The sequence below is a fragment of the Homo sapiens genome, chromosome X, assembly GCF_000001405.40.
Source record: "Homo sapiens chromosome X, GRCh38.p14 Primary Assembly".
Classification (NCBI taxonomy): domain Eukaryota; kingdom Metazoa; phylum Chordata; class Mammalia; order Primates; family Hominidae; genus Homo; species Homo sapiens.
Genome location: NC_000023.11, coordinates 130,110,526 through 130,126,614, shown reverse-complemented (window position 1 = coordinate 130,126,614; position 16,089 = coordinate 130,110,526). Strand labels below are relative to the sequence as shown.

Sequence of the window (16,089 nt, the reverse complement as noted above, 5' to 3'; positions counted from 1 at the left end):
GATCATCACCACTTCACTCAGCTGTCACAACTTGCCACTTACCCAGGATGCATTTAATCTGCCCAAGCCCCTGAGGATCCTGGGGTCCAAATTCTTTCTTTCTTTTCTTTTTTTTTTTCTTTTTGAGATGGAGTCTCGCTCTGTTGCCCAGGCTGGAGTGCAGTGGGTGATCTCAGCTCACTGCAACCTCCACCTCCTGGGTTCAAGCGATTCTCCTGCCTCAGCCTCCCGGGTAGCTGGGATTACAAGCACACGCCACCACACCCGGCTAATTTTTGTATTTTTAGTAGAGATGGGGTTTCGCCACGTTGGCCAGGCTGGTCTCGAACTCCTGACCTCAGGTGATCTGTCTTGCCTCGGCCTCCCAAAGTGCTGAGATTACAGGCATGAGCCACTGGCCTCTAGGGTCTGATTTCTGACTCCACAGACAAGCAGTGCCAGTCGAGGTTTGGCCCTCAATAGCTGGTCTGTGATAAGCTGGGCCACACCACAGTGTGGTGCAAGGCTAGTCCCACCCTGGGAAGAAGAGGCAGGCTTTGCCCAAAGAGCAGTCATCTAGAGCCCACCCATTTGACTTCAACCTCGCTTTCCTTGGCCATTTCATAAACGGTATCAGATGGTCCTTGGCACCACTTAGTGATGGTCCTAACCTCTGCCTGGCTACCTGTAAACCACAGCAGGGGGTGTCCTAATGTTTTTAAAGGTGGAGAGGTGGAACTGAGGGAAGGAAGGAAGTTTGATTGGAAAGGGGTTAGATTAAGCCTCTTAGTGAAGGATGAGGTCAACATTTGTGATTTTTTTTGTTGTTGTTCTAATCAACAGGGCCTGTTTTGGAGACAAGAGGCTTTAAACAGAAAGGGCTGGGGGTGGGACTCCACAGTGACCTACTGCAGGCTGCTTCCTTGAAGGAAAATCAGCAGCTTCTCAAGAGACCCATTTATACAAAGGAACTCTCCCCTCCCTTCCCCCACTGCCCCTTCCCTTTCCCGCTCCTCTCCAGTTTGGCTGCTGCCATATCCCTTCTGTACGTCCTTCCCTGACTCCACCTAAAGCCAGGCACCCTTGCTGCCCTAGAGATTGTTGGGACTCGCTCCCAGTGCCTTGCTTTCTGGGCAGAGGGGAAGTTCTGCTGGGCCCAGAGGTGAAGTAAGACTGCCTCTGGTCTCTTTCCCATCTTATCAGGGAATTCCTGGCGGGCACAGACACGCGTACACAAAACCACACACAGATACACTCAGCCCAAGCCAGTGATGACGTTCCCCTGCCTGGCTGGTTCTACGTATGGGTGTGACTAGGTCAAAGAGGACAGGGAGGGTCTAAATATTTAGATACTGGACTGCCAAGCCCTCGATGGAAACCAGAGATCCTCTCAAAATGAACATTTGCTGAAAGAAAAGCAGCCTCTGGCGTCTCTGGAAGCTCGCCCGGTACTGTCGGCCAGGACTTGGTGTTGCTACCAACTGGCCTGGCACTCACAGCTAGATCTGGGTGTTCTGCTGAACATACATTCATAGGGCATCAGCATTATACAAGGCTACTCTGTGACCATGGTGGATTGAGACAAAAACAAGACCGCTCCATAATCATGTGAACACAGACAAAAACATGAAGATTGCCTGAACCTTGAAAATGACCGAACAACCCCCACCCCCATCCTGGTTTTTCTGAGTAGCTGCTGCTTCCTTACCAATTGTGGCTTCAGCCTCGCTCTTGTCTGCCTTCCTCTTGGATAAGATTGAGTTGATAAGATACCCAATCCAATCACAGAATCACCAGCATCCAGTCCAGAACAAAGCCTGACTTCCTTAAACCTTCCTCCAAATCCCCTGACCCAACCTGAATCCTCTAAGTCTTTTCTAGCGCCCTCTTCCTGAAGCATGGCATAGTTCCCCCATGGGGCGCCTTCTTTCTTGCTGCAGTGAGCAATAAACCTAACTTGTTTGACCGTGTTCCTGGTGGTCTTTGACCAGAAGGGGTTGACAATTTGGACACAAATAGCCAAAATATCCTCTGGAGGACCACTATCAGGCAGAGACCCCAGTGAATTTCACCTAGTCCTGTGTCTTTCTGAAGACCTTACCTAGTCCTGGTGGAGCCTCCAAGGTCTGTGTTTCGGTTGGGGAAAGCCCAGGAGTTGTGTCTTGTGTTGGGGGACAGAGGTACCTGGCTTCCCAGGCAGGTTCTCACCTAGGATGTCTTGGCATTTGCAGTACAACACAGAGATGCTTCTCAGGGAGTATCTAGCATAGGTATTGAATTTATAAATAATATACAAATAAATGTATTCATTTCTTTAACATTTTCTGAGCAACTAATGTATGCCATAGTACTGTACTAGGCTCTGGAGATAGGAAGATGAGTAATATATTGTCCCTGTCTTCCTTCAATGGCTTTATAACCGAGTGGTGGCCACAGACAAGTCAACAGGGATTATCAGTGTCACCTAACTGCTGGGAGTATGATAAGTGAGTTCCGATTGGAACTTCATTGCTTCTCCAGTTGCTTTACTGTTCTGCTTCTATCTATTCTAGGCATTTTTAAAAATAGAGATGGGGTCTCACTTTGTTGCCTAGGCTGTTCCCAAACTCCTGGGTTCAAGCGATCCTCCCACCTCAGCCTCCCATAGTGCTGGGATTACTGGCATGAGCCACTGTGCCCAGCCTATTCTAGGCTTTTCCTTCACCTACCAAATCATAGTTCCCCCGTTTTATGGTTGTGTCTTCTCTGTCATCACTTTGGAAAGAATATGGAGAGTGCTCTGCTTCATAGAGGATGGTGCTGACATTCCTTTCACCCAGAGATTACACATCTTCCTCTTCACTCTTCCTCAGATCTTTCATTCTCCCTCCTCGTCTCAGAATCTCTGCAGTCTTCCCCTCTTGTTTTCCTTTTTTTTTTTTTTTTTTTTTTTTTTGAGACAGAGTCTCCCTCTGTCACCCAGGCTGGAGTGTAGTGAGTGGTGTGATCTCAGCTCACTGCAACCTCCACCTCCCGGGTTCAAGCGATTCTCCTGCCTCAGCCTCCCGAATAGCTGAGATTACAGGTGCCCACCACCATGCCGCCATGCTAATTTTTTTTGTATTCTTAATAGAGATGGGATTTTGCCATGTTGGCCAGGCTGGTCTTGAACTCCTGACCTCAGTGATCCATCTCGGCCTCCCACAGTGTTGGGATTACAGGCGTGAGCCACCGTGCCTGGCCACCCCTTGTTTCCCTTTTCCCTGTGTTTCCTCTTTGGGTTCCAGGGGCTGCTCCCTGCTCGTGTGTTTTCTCCCAAAGCAGAGGAGCACAGTGAAAAGAACACTCTTCCAGATTTCAGCCGCAGTGCTGCCGCTCACTGCCTGGATGGCTTTGGGCAACTAGTTTCTGAGCTCTCTGCTTCCTCATCTGTAAAATGAGAGAACAGACTAGGTCATCTCTCACCTTCAGCCCTGACCTCCTTTGTCTGCAACAGTCTTTCAGTGTTTGCATGGGACTTTCTTCATCTCTCCATCTCTCAGTTGCTGTTTACCTCTAAGGTCTAGAGAGGCTGCCAATGGAACCCAAAGCCCTTGGCAGCCATCTCCCCATGCCTCTGCTGTCCCTTTGGCTCTACTAGATGTACAGGTTTTGCTGGTTTTTGTTTTTAGTTTATGGCTTTTGTTTATAGTTTATTTTTCTTTGACCTACCCAGTTACATTTGGACCTGGGACCCCTAGAAATTGTACATTGTACATTGTCTTATTTCCTCTCCATGGAGAGTTTCACAGCCTCGAAACTGGGTTCCATGAAACAGGTCATCCTTCAGCCCCTAAGCTAAAGTTTGGCTTCAAATCCAGAATTTCCCCCAAGGAAGGCTTGACAGTGGGACTGTTGTCAGCCATGATCCTAGCACATACATTCCTACAGGCTCCCAATCCCCAACAAACATGCCCTACAGAGCTGCTGTGTGGACAGCCATCATAACCCAGGCTTTCAACCTAATACCAAGGTAGGAGCTCAGAAAAGCTCCCTCATGCTATATAAGCCCAAGCCTTGAGACCAGCCCTTCTACCTCCCACCCCCCCTTGCTCCTAGTCCATGGCCATTTCCATATTGACCATGGCCTTGGCAGAGCCGTGCCCTGAAGTGCAGTGACAAGCAAGTCAGGAAGCTTGCAAACTTCAACACCCAGCTTTGGCTCTTATCATACAGACAAAAGGAAAGTGCATACAGGCAAACAATGCCAATCCAGTACCATGATTTGCTAGGTGGGAAAGGATGCTTACGGACTATGCCCCTCTGGAAGGAAAGGGGAGCTTTAGGTGTTTCAGAGGCCAGCAGGGCTCCTCTAGCTTGAAGCCTTCCCTGGCCTGGGCCTGAGGCCCTTAGGCACCTTGTTGAAACTAATATTCTAAGCAACCAGGGTGTGATTCTGGTTTCCCACCCCAGTGGAGAGGTGATGAGACAATCCAATCCTCTCATCCCTTCCACTGTCCTCAAATTAGTGTCACAAGGGGGTGGTATGAAAACCCGGACTCCTGGGCCTCCAAGTCACCCCCACCCTATCCTGAACTGGTCCACTATCAAGTTCCAGGAGAAAGGGCCAGTGACCTCTCAGATGATCGGCTCGACTTGCTGCTGGGGTCCAGAACAGCTCAAGGCTCAGAACACTCCACACTTGTCCCTTCAGTGGCAGAAGCTGTTCCAAATCCCGCCTGAAGCAAGCCCATGTTCTCACTTGTTCATTGGAACAGGTGGTTCTAAAGAAGAGCCACCAGCTTCCAGGTGAACTCCTCAGGCAGTCCCAAGGTTCTGAAGAGGGAAGGGGATCCCCAGACCCCTTCCCTTGGGCAGGCACTCCCTGAATGCAGTGGCTAATTACAAAAGGATACCTTAGTGAGAGCTTTGCCCAATCTTGCAAACATGCAATTCCCTCCTGGGCATTCCCTGTGCACCCCTAGAACAGCACAGGTGGCCAGGTTGGAACAGGGGCGCGGAGATCTCCACGGGGACTCCCACGCGCCACCGCCCTCCCAGCTGCCCCACCGAATCCTTCCCGGGGAGCCCAGAGCCGCTCCAGTTCGCCTGTCGGGACGGGAGGAAGAGGGGAGGCGGGAGCAGAAAGAAAGGATTCCAGCACTTTGGGAGGCTGAGGCGGGCGGATCACCTGAGGTCAGGAGTTCGCGACCAGCCTGGCCAACGTGGTGAAACCCTGTCTCTACTAAAAATGCAAAAGTTAGCTGGGCGTGGTGGTGGGCGCCTGTAATTCGAGCTACTCCGGAGGCTGAGGCAGGAGAATCGCTTGAACCCGGGGGTGGGGTGCGGAGGTTACAGTGAGCCAAGATCGCGCCACTGCAGCCTGAGCGAAAGAGCGAGACTCCGCCAAAAAAAAAAAAAAAAAGAAAAGAAAAGAAAAAAAAGAAAGGATTGAGGGGAAGTTTCAAAGGGTGTGCCGGGGACCGGGGAAGAGTCTCATTCTCATGAGTCAGCGGATCCGGCCCAGTGTGACTTCACTGCTTCCCCAGAAGAGGCGCCCAGGGCAGGAGGCCGCTCAGAGCGCAGCAGCAGGAGTGGAAGCTCGGGGCGCTGGCTGCCTGCGCCGGGCAGGGCGCGGGACAAGGCTTGGGGCTGGGCTGGTCAGGCCGCTTGGGGCTGAGGCGGCGAAGGGAGGCCGCGTGCCAGCGAGGAAAGCTGGGGGCAGAGGAGCCGATATCTCCTCCTCCTGCTGCTCCTCCTTGGACGACAGTTCCCGCCGCCGCCGCCGCGTTCCGCGTGCAGGTGGCGCTGCAGAGGCGCCCGGGCGCACTGCTGGGCGGGTGGGCACGCTCAGCCCCACCAGGATCCGGGCTTGGAAGGCGCGCGAGCCTAGAAAGGGGGTAGCGAGAAAAAGGCCACCAGCCCCCGCTGCTTCTCAGGCCGTCCCCGAACTCGAGAGAAGGACGCGCTCCCACCCCACTGGCGGGAGAGTACGGAGATCAGCCCCGCGGCCGAGCGCCCCAGGTCGGGGGCTGGTTCCTGCGCGCTTCTGCAAAGTCCCTCGAGCCACCTCGCAGGCCCCACAGAGCCCCGGGCGGCTCCTAACTTCAGCAAAGGAATTGCAGTTTCGGGCGGTCTTTGCTCTCTGGGGATGGCGCTCTTGACCCGCAGGCAGTAGAATGGAAACTTTGAGTCGTGTCTGGGGCGTTGGGGGTGGGTTTCCCTGAACAGCCACTCTCTAGCCTGGCTCCCATGAGACTTAGAACGCATCTCCAGCACAGGGGATGCAGACTGTGGCCAAGGCTGGGGCGCAGCCTGAGACTCGGCTCGGCCGACATGAGAGGTAGAGGCTCTGCTTAAGTCCGGATCTAGAGGGACAGTTAGGTGGTCCGTGCTTGTCAATCCGGTCTTCTGCAGCTATATAAGGAAAAAAGAAAAAAAAACAAAAAACAAAAAAACAAAACAAAAAACTAAGGGCTTATCTGGGGCTCAAACTTGCAACCTCTGTCTTCATAGATAGAACTTCGTGTCCTAACTCCTTGCAGGCCCTGAGCTCTAGAAGCCATGATGCTGCCTTGGACATCCTCGTGGTGCTTGGTGGTTATGAGGTGGCTGTTTAGTTAACATATTGAGAATATCAAGGCACAAAAATAACCTTGTGGCCAGAACCTGTGGGGAAAAGTTGTTGAGGGCTCCAACCTCGCCCTTTCCAGAAGCTAGAGTGGCCACTTCTGTGATACAACTTGACATATAAAATCTATGGGCAGAGTGTGTCCCTCTTTTCTGTGCCAAGAAATAAAAGCTGCACCCCGTGTTAGCATTCTGGGTGCCTCTCCTCCCCTCTCAGTCCATCCAGTTCTCCTGCTTTCAGGGTGTGCAAAACCATCTGAGAAAGTCATCTAAAGACTTCCCATAAAGAAAGGGAAGGGGCGGGGGGAATCCAAAGGATCCTAAACGTTCCCAGGTCTCACTGTGTGCCAGGAGAAATACCGCCTGTCTCCCGCCCAGACCTCAGAGCCCGGGCCTTTTTCCTACAGGGCGGTGCCCAGCTATTCCTGGAAGCCCCCTCCTTTCTACCAGACCCCTCCCCAAGGTGTCTCCTCCCAGAGCACCATCGAGGAGAAAGATCAGATCAGCAAAGCTTGACGTCCCCCTGCCCCCTCTTTCTGTCCCCAATCTGACCTGCAGTCTCAGCCTCTGCCCTCTCCTGATGCCACGGCGCTGGCTTCTTCTCCCAGAGCAGGACCTGAGCGGTGAGCTCTTCCCCAAGCCCCCCTAGGTGACCAGGAGAGGATCTGATAAACTAATTTGTGTTAATGTGATAATGGGAGCTAATGGGGTCACGTGCTAACCACGGGTCCAAGTTCTAACTCAGCATCACAAACTCAACCCCAAGTTAAGGCTGCAGAGATGGGAATTTTGGGCTGACTAATCTCCACAGCTGGCTGGAGGGGGTGGGGGAGTGGGAGGAACCGAAGCCCCTGGACGATCCCAGGGTCTGGTGCCTTTGAGCTGCTGTCTCGGTTTCAGTTTCATCCTTGGCTGACACATTCCTCCGAAGAGTGGAATTGCTTTGGTTTCCCTCCAGCCCCTCTCCCGTCCCTGGCCACCTCCGTCTTGGACTGCTAGCTCCCCTCGGTCAGCCCTTCTCTTCGTGAGGGGAGAGATGGGAAGATAATTTGGCAGCGACGAGGAAAAAATGTACACGTAGACATCCTGAGACGCACAGGCTCACATACCATACTGCTTTGCAGACAGACATGTGCACATGCCCTCCACGAACACACATGCATGCACGAGGGGACCCGACATCCAAGACTTGAGCCCACACACACACAGGCATATGCACACACATGCACACCCCGAACACAGTTATGCCCTCACTCACATCTGTGAGACCCACACAGACACGCACATAGGCAGGCAAGGCCCAGAGAGCCATGTTGCACACAGACCCACATGCACACTCATACACCCTCACACACACAAACCAGCAGCAGCCGCCGAGTTGGATGGCTTCCTCAAAAGAGGGCTGGAAAGCTTGTTTGCTGCCAGCAAAGGGGCCTAGACATTCCGTGAAGTGACTCATACTGCACCTTTATACACATTGTTATATTTTTCTGCATTCAACAACAACAACCCTCAACCCCGATGTGGGGGCAGGGTGGGGAAACTGAAGAGTGGCTGCATTTCCACTGGGCCTCTGCTATGCCTCTGTCTAGCAAATGTTTCAGGCCTGTCCTCACTTCTCAGTGGATTGTGGCAATCCCAAAGAGCAGAATTGTCTACCTCCTGGTACAAACCTCAGCCCAGGCCTGCCCCTTGGGAGGATGCAGAGTGGATGAAATTGGGGGCTGATGAGTTCCCCTCATAGACAATCCCCCATCCTACCTCATCCCTAGTCCTGGATATCTGGGGCCAGGCCCCATGGTCCCCTGTGGTGTCCCAGTCTGAGCCCCTCCTGATCTCTCCTCTCCAAGTGCCCTCCCCAACTCTCCTGAATCTGGCTTTACTGCCACCTGCTTGCACACTTCCGGGCAGTGGCATTCACTTTATATAATACGTAGAGCCCCGTGCAGTGTGACTGGAGGCCCCTCCCTTCCCCTGGGTCTCTTCTCCATCTGAGGAAGAGATGTCAGCTTGATGGCTACTTGTGTCCCCATCCCCCAGCACACTCAAGGGCCTGCAGAAATTCACTTTGTGCTCACTCCGGCAAAACCTCCCTGTGTTGACAATCTTGGTCCGCCTGCACCGGGCTGTGGGGAGATCAGCTAAGGCCAGGGCCTCCCCAGCTTCACTCTGAGGACACATCAGAGGTCAAAGAGATGACACAGGACAGGTGTTGGGCCAGCAGTTATTCATGGCTGAGGGGTTAACTCTGGCACCACTGGACAGAAGCCCCAAACCCCTGAATGCTGCAATGCCTCTGATAGGAGCCCAGGGCAGGTGCCTGCCTCTTTGCCCTGGTCCCAGGGACTTTTGCAGGCTGAGCTTTGGCTCCAAGGTAGGAGTTGGGGATCAGTGGAGTTAGAGACTCCAGGGGGCTTGCCCTCATCTCATTTGCTGACTCTGCCTAAAGCCAGTTCGTCCTCATTTTTTTTTTTCTTTTCAAATGAACCACAGGTTTGTGTCTTTCCATCTCCCACACCCTCCAAATTTCCCACCATCCCAGAGGGCCCTCCTGAAGAACACGGAATCTGTTTCCCAAACAACAGGCCCACTCCCCAGCTGTCGGGGGTTGGGGGGTAGTGCCTCCCAGCAGCCACCACGCTCAGGGTGAGCACCTACTCACAGCCAGCAGCGCCTCCTGTGTCGGCATCATCCCCTCCAGGCAGCCAGCCCTCCTGAGCTGCTGTCCAGCTCGAAGACAATTGAAAGCCGGTGATCTTCTGAAGTTTTGTAGGGGCTTTCATGGTGCTGGGAGGAGACATGTATAACTGTTTTTTGTTTTTTTGTTTTTTTGAGATGGAGTCTTTTGCTCTGTCACCCAGGCTGGAGTGCAGTGGCACAATCTCGGCTCACTGCAAGCTCCGCCTCCCAGGTTCACACCATTCTCCTGCTTCAGCCTCCCGCGTAGCTGGGACTACAGGAGCCCGCCACCACGCCCGGCTAATTTTTTGTATTTTTTAATAGAGACAGGGTTTCACCATGTTAGCCAGGATGGTCTCGATCTCCTGACCTCGTGATCCGCCCACCTTGGCCTCCCAAAGTGCTGGGATTACAGGCGTGAGCCACAGCACCCGGCCAATGTATAACTGTTTTAATGATTGTAAACTGAGCAGGGTGGGCTGCAGGGACCGAGTGGCTTTCCAAGAGCCCCAGTCAGGCATGTCTCCCAGCCTATGAGGGTGGTGCAGATGAAAGTTGTGATCTGGGAAGTGGCTACCAACTCCATCCTCTCATCTGCATGCCTGTGCTTTAACCTGAGTCCACCTCCATCCCCAGTACAGGCCAAGGCCACAGACCGTCATCTGTGAAGAAAAGCTTTGGTATAACCAGCCCATGTTGCACACAGATCCACATGCCAAGGAGTTAAGTGAGGAGAGGGAGGAAGAAACCAGCCACCTTGTCTCCAGAACCTGGGGTGGCCAGGCGCGATGGCTTACGCCTGTAATCCCAGCACTTTGGGAGGCCGAGGTGGGTGGGTCATGAGGTCAGGAGTTCGATACCAGCCTGGCCAACACAGTAAAACCCTGTCTCTACTAAAAATACAAAAATTAGCTGAGCATGGTGATGCGCACCTGTAGTTCCAGCTACTTGAGAGGCTGAGGCAGGAGAATCACTTGAACCCGGGAAGCGGAGGTTGCAGTGAGCCAAGATCCCGCCACTGCACTCGAGCCTGGATGACAGAGTGAGATTCCGTCTCAAAATAATAAAAATAATACAAAAAATTAGCTGGACGTGGTGGCAGGCGTCTGTAATCCCAGCTACTCGGGAGGCTGAGGTAGGAGGGCTGAGGCAGGAGAATCACTTGAGCCTGGGAGGCAGAAGTTGCAGTGAGCTGAGATCGCGCCATTGCATTCCAGCCTGGGCAACAAGAGCAAAACTCTGTCTCAAAAAAAAAAAAAAAAAAAAAAAGGACCTGGGGTGATTTGCAGGAAAACATGATGGGCTATCAGGCACTGCTTGAAGAAAGGAATTCTGTTTTGCAGCTATTCAACAAGCTTTTTAGAACAAACACTGCTTATGCTGACCAGACACAACCTTGACTTGGAGATCTCTGTGTGCCACTTGGATACCCATGGCCTTGTCATGTAAACCCAACAGATGCAAACCTGGGGTTATTGAATGCAACAGAAGAATGAGTACTGGCTTTATAGGAAGGATTATAGGGGGTTTCTCAGATTTATAGGTGGGAGGCTTCCTTTAACACCATAACCTCTCTCCCAGCTTTTGAATACACTCCTCATTCCAAAAGTCTAATCGATAGGCAACTTTCCTTTTCTTTCTTTCTTTCTTTCTTTCTTTTTTCTTTCTCCTTCCTTCCTTCCTTCCTCTCTCTCTCTCTCTCTCTTTCTCTCTTTCTTTCTTTTTGGCAGTTTCTCTCTGCTCTCTCTTTCTTTCTTTTTGGCAGTTTCTCTCTGTCACCCAGGCTGGAGTACAGTGGCGTGATATCGGCTCACTGCAACTTCTGCCTCCCGGGTTCAAGTGATTCTCCTGCCTCAGCCTCCAGAGTAGCTGGGATTACAGGCGCCCACCACCACGCCCAGCTAATTTTTGTATTTTTAGTACAGATGGGGTTTCCCCATGTTGGTCAGTCTGGCCTTGAACTCCTGACCTCAGGTGATTCATCTGCCTCGGCTTCCCAAAGTGCTGGGATTACAGGCGTGAACCACTGTGCCTGGCCAATAGGCAACTTTTCTAGTATGTGTCCATGGTGGTATGTTCGGGCTCTGGCACAGAAACTGTGGCGTTGTGGTATATTGCTCTGCCCACAAGTTTGAATAGAATTTGCTGAGGACAAGGAGTTAAGTGAGCAGAGGGAGGGAGAAATCAGCCACCTCATCTCCAAAGAACCTGATGATTTGCAGGAAAACATGGGCTATCAGGCATTGCTTGAAAAAAAGAGATAAAGGCCAGGCATGGCGGCTCATGTTTGTAATCCCGACACTTTGGGAGGCCGAGGTGAGAGAATCGCTTGAGCCCAGGAGTTCAAGACCAGCCTGGAAAACACGGCAAAACCCTGTCTCTACAAAAAACACAAAAATTAGCCAGGCATGGTGGTGTGCATCTGTAGTCCCAGCTACCCCGGAGGCCAAAGAGAGGGAGGATCGCTTGAGCCCAGGAGTTGGAGGCTGCAGCAAGCTATGATTGTACCACTGCACTCCAGCCTGGGCAATACAGCAAGACCTTGCCTCTGGAAAAAAAGAAAAAGGAGACAAAGAGGGGCTCTGAAAGCTGTTAAAGTGGAAGGGCAAGTTGAGTGTGCAAGTAGGGAGGTGGAACTACATGGGCTGTGGGCAACACAGAGGCCCCTCCCGCTCCTTGCAGGACTCAAGTTTTGAGACCCGAGACCACCCAGTCAGGGTTGGAGACTGGGGGAAGCAGGGCTGGAAGGAGAAAGGCTCGGAGTGCTCCGCTCATGGTGCAGGCTGGGCACCCATGGGCAACTCGAGAAGGGGAATTCCTGCCAAGTCAGGGAATGAGCCATTGGTAGAAACAGTGTGGCTGTCGTCAGGAGAGTGGTGATCTCAGCCTGGCTGGCCCCACCTGGCTTGGGCTCACCCAGCAGGTAGGTGGAAGAGCGGCGAGCCGTGTGGGGAAGGAGAAGGGCAGCAAGGAAGGTCATTCAGGTGGCCCATGGCTCCCCAAGGTGAGGTCAGCCTTTTTCATCAAGGGGGGTGGGGCTAGCTTTGGCTGCAACGCGCAGATCATGGGGCTGTGGTTAGTTCTGAGAGGCTGGGGAAGGTGGGAACTTATGGGATTCCCACAAGCCGTGGGCTGCAGGGCGCTGGCAGGCATTAGGGCCAGTCACCATGAGCTGGTTGGCAGTGCTGACCTCTCTTCCTGCCCTTCCCAAAAGGAAAACCTCTCCTTGCATGCTGCCTTGAGGCTTCAGCCTTGGTTCAAACTACATTCACTTACGGGAGGGATCCACCATTAGTCCTGAGCAACTTCAGCCCTGGCCCTGTCATACTTTCTCCTGAGAGCTGGGTTGAGAAAGGGAAATGAAGATGAACATGACACCTAAGAGAGCTAACATTTATTGAAGACTTACTGGGCACCAGACACTGCCATAGACATTTGTTATCTCATTCAGTCCTTGCCACAGCCTTGGGAGGTAGGTTCATATTGTCTCCAATTTAAAAATAAGAAAAGTGAGGCTGGGGGCAGGGAAGTGCAGATGGTTAATGGGTACAAAAATATAGTTAGAATGAGTAAGATCTAGTACCTGATAACACTACAGGGTGCCTGCAGTCAACAATAATTTATTGCACATTTAAAAATAACTAGGGCCAGGCGCGGTGGCTCACACCTGTAATCCCAGCACTTTGGGAAGCCAAGGCAGGCGCATCACCTGAGGTCAGGAGTTTGAGACCAGCCTGACCAACATGGAGAAACCCCATCTCTACTAAAAATACAAAAATTAGCCAGGTGTGGTGGCGTATGCCTATAATCCCAGTTACTCGGGAGGCTGAGGCAGGAGAATCGCTTGAACCCAGGAGGCAGAGGTTGCGGTGAGCCGAGATCACACCATTGCACTCCAGCCTGGGCAAGAAGAGTGAAATTCCGTCTCAAAAAAAAAAAAATCTAAACTAAAAGAGTATAACTGGATTGTATATAACACAAAGAAAGAGGCCGGGCGCAGTGGCTCACGCCTGTAATCCCAGCACTTTAGGAGGCCGAGGCGGGTGGATGACGAGGTCAGGAGATCGAGACCATCCTGACTAACACAGTGAACCCCTGCCTCTACTAAAAAATACAAAAAATTAGCCGGGCATGGTGGCGGGTTCCTGTAGTCCCAGCTACTCAGGAGGCTGAGGCAGGAGAATGGCATGAACCCGGGAGGTGGAGCTTGCAGTGAGCCGAGATCGCGCCACTGCACTCCAGTCTGGGAGAAAGAGCGAGACTCCATCTCAAAAAAAAAAAAAAAAAAAAAGAAGGAAAAAAAAAAAAGAAAAAGAAAACACACAAAGAAAGGAGAAATGCTTGAGGTGACAGATACCCCATTTACCCTGATGTGATTATTACACATTGCATGCCTGTATCAAAACATCTCATGTAACCCATAAATACACACACCTACAATGTACCCATAAAAATAAAAAACAAAAATAAAAAAATTAATTTATTTAATTTATTTATTTTTTTGAGATGGAGTCTCACTGTGTCATCCAGGCTGGAGTGCAGTGGCACGATCTCGGCTCACTGCAACCTCTGCCTCCCAGGTTCAAGTGACTCTCCTGCCTCAGCCTCCCGAGTAGCTGGAACTACAGGCATGCACCACCACACCGGCTAATTTTTGTATTTTTAGTAGAGATGGGGTTTCACCATGTTGGCCAGGCTGGTCTTGAACTCCTGACCTCAAGTGATCCACCCCGCTCGGCATCCCAAAGTGCTGGGATTACAGGCATGAGTCACCACACCCAGCCTAGTTTTTGTTTTTGTTCTGTTTTAAAGAAGAAAAGTGAGGCTCAGAGAGTTTAAGTGACTTGCCTGAAGTCACACAGCTGGTAAATAGTGAGCTGGAATAGGAACCCAGGTCTGTCTGAGGTTACAGACCACTGAGCTCTTAGCAAAATGGGAAAGTGTGTGTGTGTGCACGCGTGTGCAGACGTGTCTGTCCATTCGTGAATTTCAAAGTCAAGGTAAAGAGGGCTTAGGGACATCCGGAACCTACCCCAAATTTGAGAGGGGACCTCGTGGATGAGAGGCCAGCAGAGAACTGTGTGTCTCCAGGATCTGGAATCCCCTGGGAAAAGCATGCCCGCTTGGAAAAGACAAAGTGCTTGTTTTGGGGACTTGATTCTGAGTATCCAGGAGGTCTCAGGGGCCGGCGCCCCAGTCCAGCCACAGGATCTTTCCTTGGGAACTTGTAATCTGCAGCTGCCTTTGTGGCCATCATCCACCACCACTCCTGTCCCCCAGTCCTGCGCCTGAGATGATCCTTTCCCAAGGCAGGAGAAGCAGGCCGATGCTGGAGGCTGAGTAGGTCCTTCAACCTCAAGCCCTTTAGAAGGCCCCATCCCCTGGGGCTCCTTCAGTCTTGATGCTTTCTGCCAAGGCTTAGGCCTTGCTGCCCCCACCCCCAAAAAGGCCACGTGGAACTATACAGAGTAACAATTCCCAGCGCACTCTCTCCAGAGCCTCCTATCAGCAGACCCACGTAGGCGGCGGTATTGATGTTGAGGCAGGTCAGAGAGGGCAAAGGGGAGATAGAAGGGGAGCGTGCCTGAGTGGCTTTCAAGTGGGCGCGTGGAGCAGAGCAGCCTGGCTTTGGACAGGGGAAGAAAGGTAGGCATGGGCTTTCTTCCAGCACCCGAACTCTGGCTCTCTTTGCACTTGCTGGGCCAGCCCCTCTCCCCCTAGCCCTTCCCCTGACTCATATCTTGCCAGCGTCCCCCACCCCAACTTCCCGCAGGAGTCCTAGACTCGACTTCCCTAAGAAGTCGCCGAAACTCTCCAGTCACCCCAGGTGTTACGCCCAGGATTCTGCGGAGTCGGGCATATGGTTCCAAAATTGTATCCTCTGGGCATCTCGCGGCCTCACCCGCCGCACGGCCCGCCCTCCCGCTGGGGCCTGCACACCCCAGGAGCTCAATAATGTGGAGCGCAGGGCTTGGCCCAAAGGCGTCAAGCAAGTCTCCACTTGCACGGGCCGAGGGGGCTGGACGAAACCTTCCCGAGTCCGCGGGGAAGGGATTTCTCTGCGGGGCGTTGTATGGGGGCTTCGCACCGGGAAGGGCGCGGAACGAGCAGAGAGCTCGGAGTCTCGCTGGCTAGAAGCAGAGTGGGGAGCGCCCGCCCGGGCCGCGGCGCACGACGCGGGCTCTGCGGGCGCCCTGCCTCGTGGTCCCCCGGGCGCGAGCGAGCCGCGAGGGGAATGAGAGGCCGCGCGGGCCCCTGGCACGGCTCCCCATGCCGTGCTGGCGACCGCGGCGGGCGGGCCGGGGCGGACGGGCGCTGTTTCCACCGAGATGCCTCGTCCCTCCCTCGTTCCCTCCCCCACCCCGCCCGCCCGCAGTCCCTCCCGTCGGTCCCTCCCTCCGGCTCTTCCCTCCCTCCCGCCCTGCCTCCTTCGCGCCCGCCCCATCCGCCGCCTGCGGGGACGTGTGTGTCTCTACTGCATTTCCCCTTTCGCTCGCTCGTTTCGGTGCATGTCTGCGCCGGTTCGCGCCCCCTCCCCGGGCGCCCCTGCCGCCCCGTGTCTTGGCCCGGCCCTCCCCGGCGTCCGCCCCGCTCCCCGCGCGCTCCACCCCGCCCCCCGCCCCGTTTTATCAGGGGCGCCGCCGTCTCACCTGGTATTTGCATCTCTCCCTCCAACTTGCCATTGGCGGCGCGAAGTGTGGGAGAGCCCTGCGCCTCGCCCGCCCGGACCAGCCTGCCCCGGCGCCGAGGTGAGTCACGGGCGCGGGGTGGCGGGGGCAGGCGGGCGGGGAAGAAGGGCGGGCGGGGAGGAGGGCGGGGGACGGCGGCCCCGGCGGCCGCGGG

The 16,089-nt window shown here is 53.5% G+C and overlaps 2 protein-coding genes across 3 annotated transcripts in view, besides 7 other annotated features; one reads left to right on the top strand and one right to left on the bottom strand.

The window, feature by feature from the left end:
• Positions 1–15,992, bottom strand: part of RAB33A (RAB33A, member RAS oncogene family) — a 74,248-nt gene extending 58,256 nt beyond the window's left edge. Inside the window, exons 1-2 of the mRNA XM_017029963.3 lie at positions 15,897–15,992; positions 9,230–9,354 (exon numbers count right to left, since the gene is read on the bottom strand). Of these exons, the coding sequence (XP_016885452.1) occupies positions 9,230–9,259 (30 nt within the window). The 5' untranslated portion in view covers positions 9,260–9,354; positions 15,897–15,992. The remainder of the gene's footprint in view (positions 1–9,229; positions 9,355–15,896) is intronic.
• Positions 5,370–5,579: a silencer, noted in NCBI's record as "fragment chrX:129255011-129255220 (GRCh37/hg19 assembly coordinates)". NCBI's record gives its function as "represses an EF-1alpha promoter that drives an FKBP-Casp9 reporter gene in an ReSE screen in K562 erythroleukemia cells {active_cell/tissue: K562}" and the evidence as "EXISTENCE:reporter gene assay evidence [ECO:0000049][PMID:32094911]".
• Positions 5,569–5,708: a silencer, noted in NCBI's record as "silent region_20995". NCBI's record gives its function as "represses an Ori minimal core promoter by ATAC-STARR-seq in GM12878 lymphoblastoid cells {active_cell/tissue: GM12878}" and the evidence as "EXISTENCE:reporter gene assay evidence [ECO:0000049][PMID:35858748]".
• Positions 5,859–5,958: an enhancer, noted in NCBI's record as "active region_29938". NCBI's record gives its function as "activates an Ori minimal core promoter by ATAC-STARR-seq in GM12878 lymphoblastoid cells {active_cell/tissue: GM12878}" and the evidence as "EXISTENCE:reporter gene assay evidence [ECO:0000049][PMID:35858748]".
• Positions 14,757–16,089, top strand: part of ELF4 (E74 like ETS transcription factor 4) — a 47,904-nt gene continuing 46,571 nt past the window's right edge. Inside the window, exon 1 of one of the 2 annotated variants that reach the window (NM_001440766.1) lies at positions 14,757–14,892. The gene's annotated coding sequence lies outside the window, so the exon portion shown is untranslated. Of the gene's footprint in view, positions 14,893–15,723; positions 15,996–16,089 lie in introns of those variants that run through there. The other variant, NM_001127197.2, reaches the window with a different exon arrangement.
• Positions 15,387–15,506: a silencer, noted in NCBI's record as "silent region_20994". NCBI's record gives its function as "represses an Ori minimal core promoter by ATAC-STARR-seq in GM12878 lymphoblastoid cells {active_cell/tissue: GM12878}" and the evidence as "EXISTENCE:reporter gene assay evidence [ECO:0000049][PMID:35858748]".
• Positions 15,577–15,626: a silencer, noted in NCBI's record as "silent region_20993". NCBI's record gives its function as "represses an Ori minimal core promoter by ATAC-STARR-seq in GM12878 lymphoblastoid cells {active_cell/tissue: GM12878}" and the evidence as "EXISTENCE:reporter gene assay evidence [ECO:0000049][PMID:35858748]".
• Positions 15,637–15,686: a silencer, noted in NCBI's record as "silent region_20992". NCBI's record gives its function as "represses an Ori minimal core promoter by ATAC-STARR-seq in GM12878 lymphoblastoid cells {active_cell/tissue: GM12878}" and the evidence as "EXISTENCE:reporter gene assay evidence [ECO:0000049][PMID:35858748]".
• Positions 15,937–16,086: a silencer, noted in NCBI's record as "silent region_20991". NCBI's record gives its function as "represses an Ori minimal core promoter by ATAC-STARR-seq in GM12878 lymphoblastoid cells {active_cell/tissue: GM12878}" and the evidence as "EXISTENCE:reporter gene assay evidence [ECO:0000049][PMID:35858748]".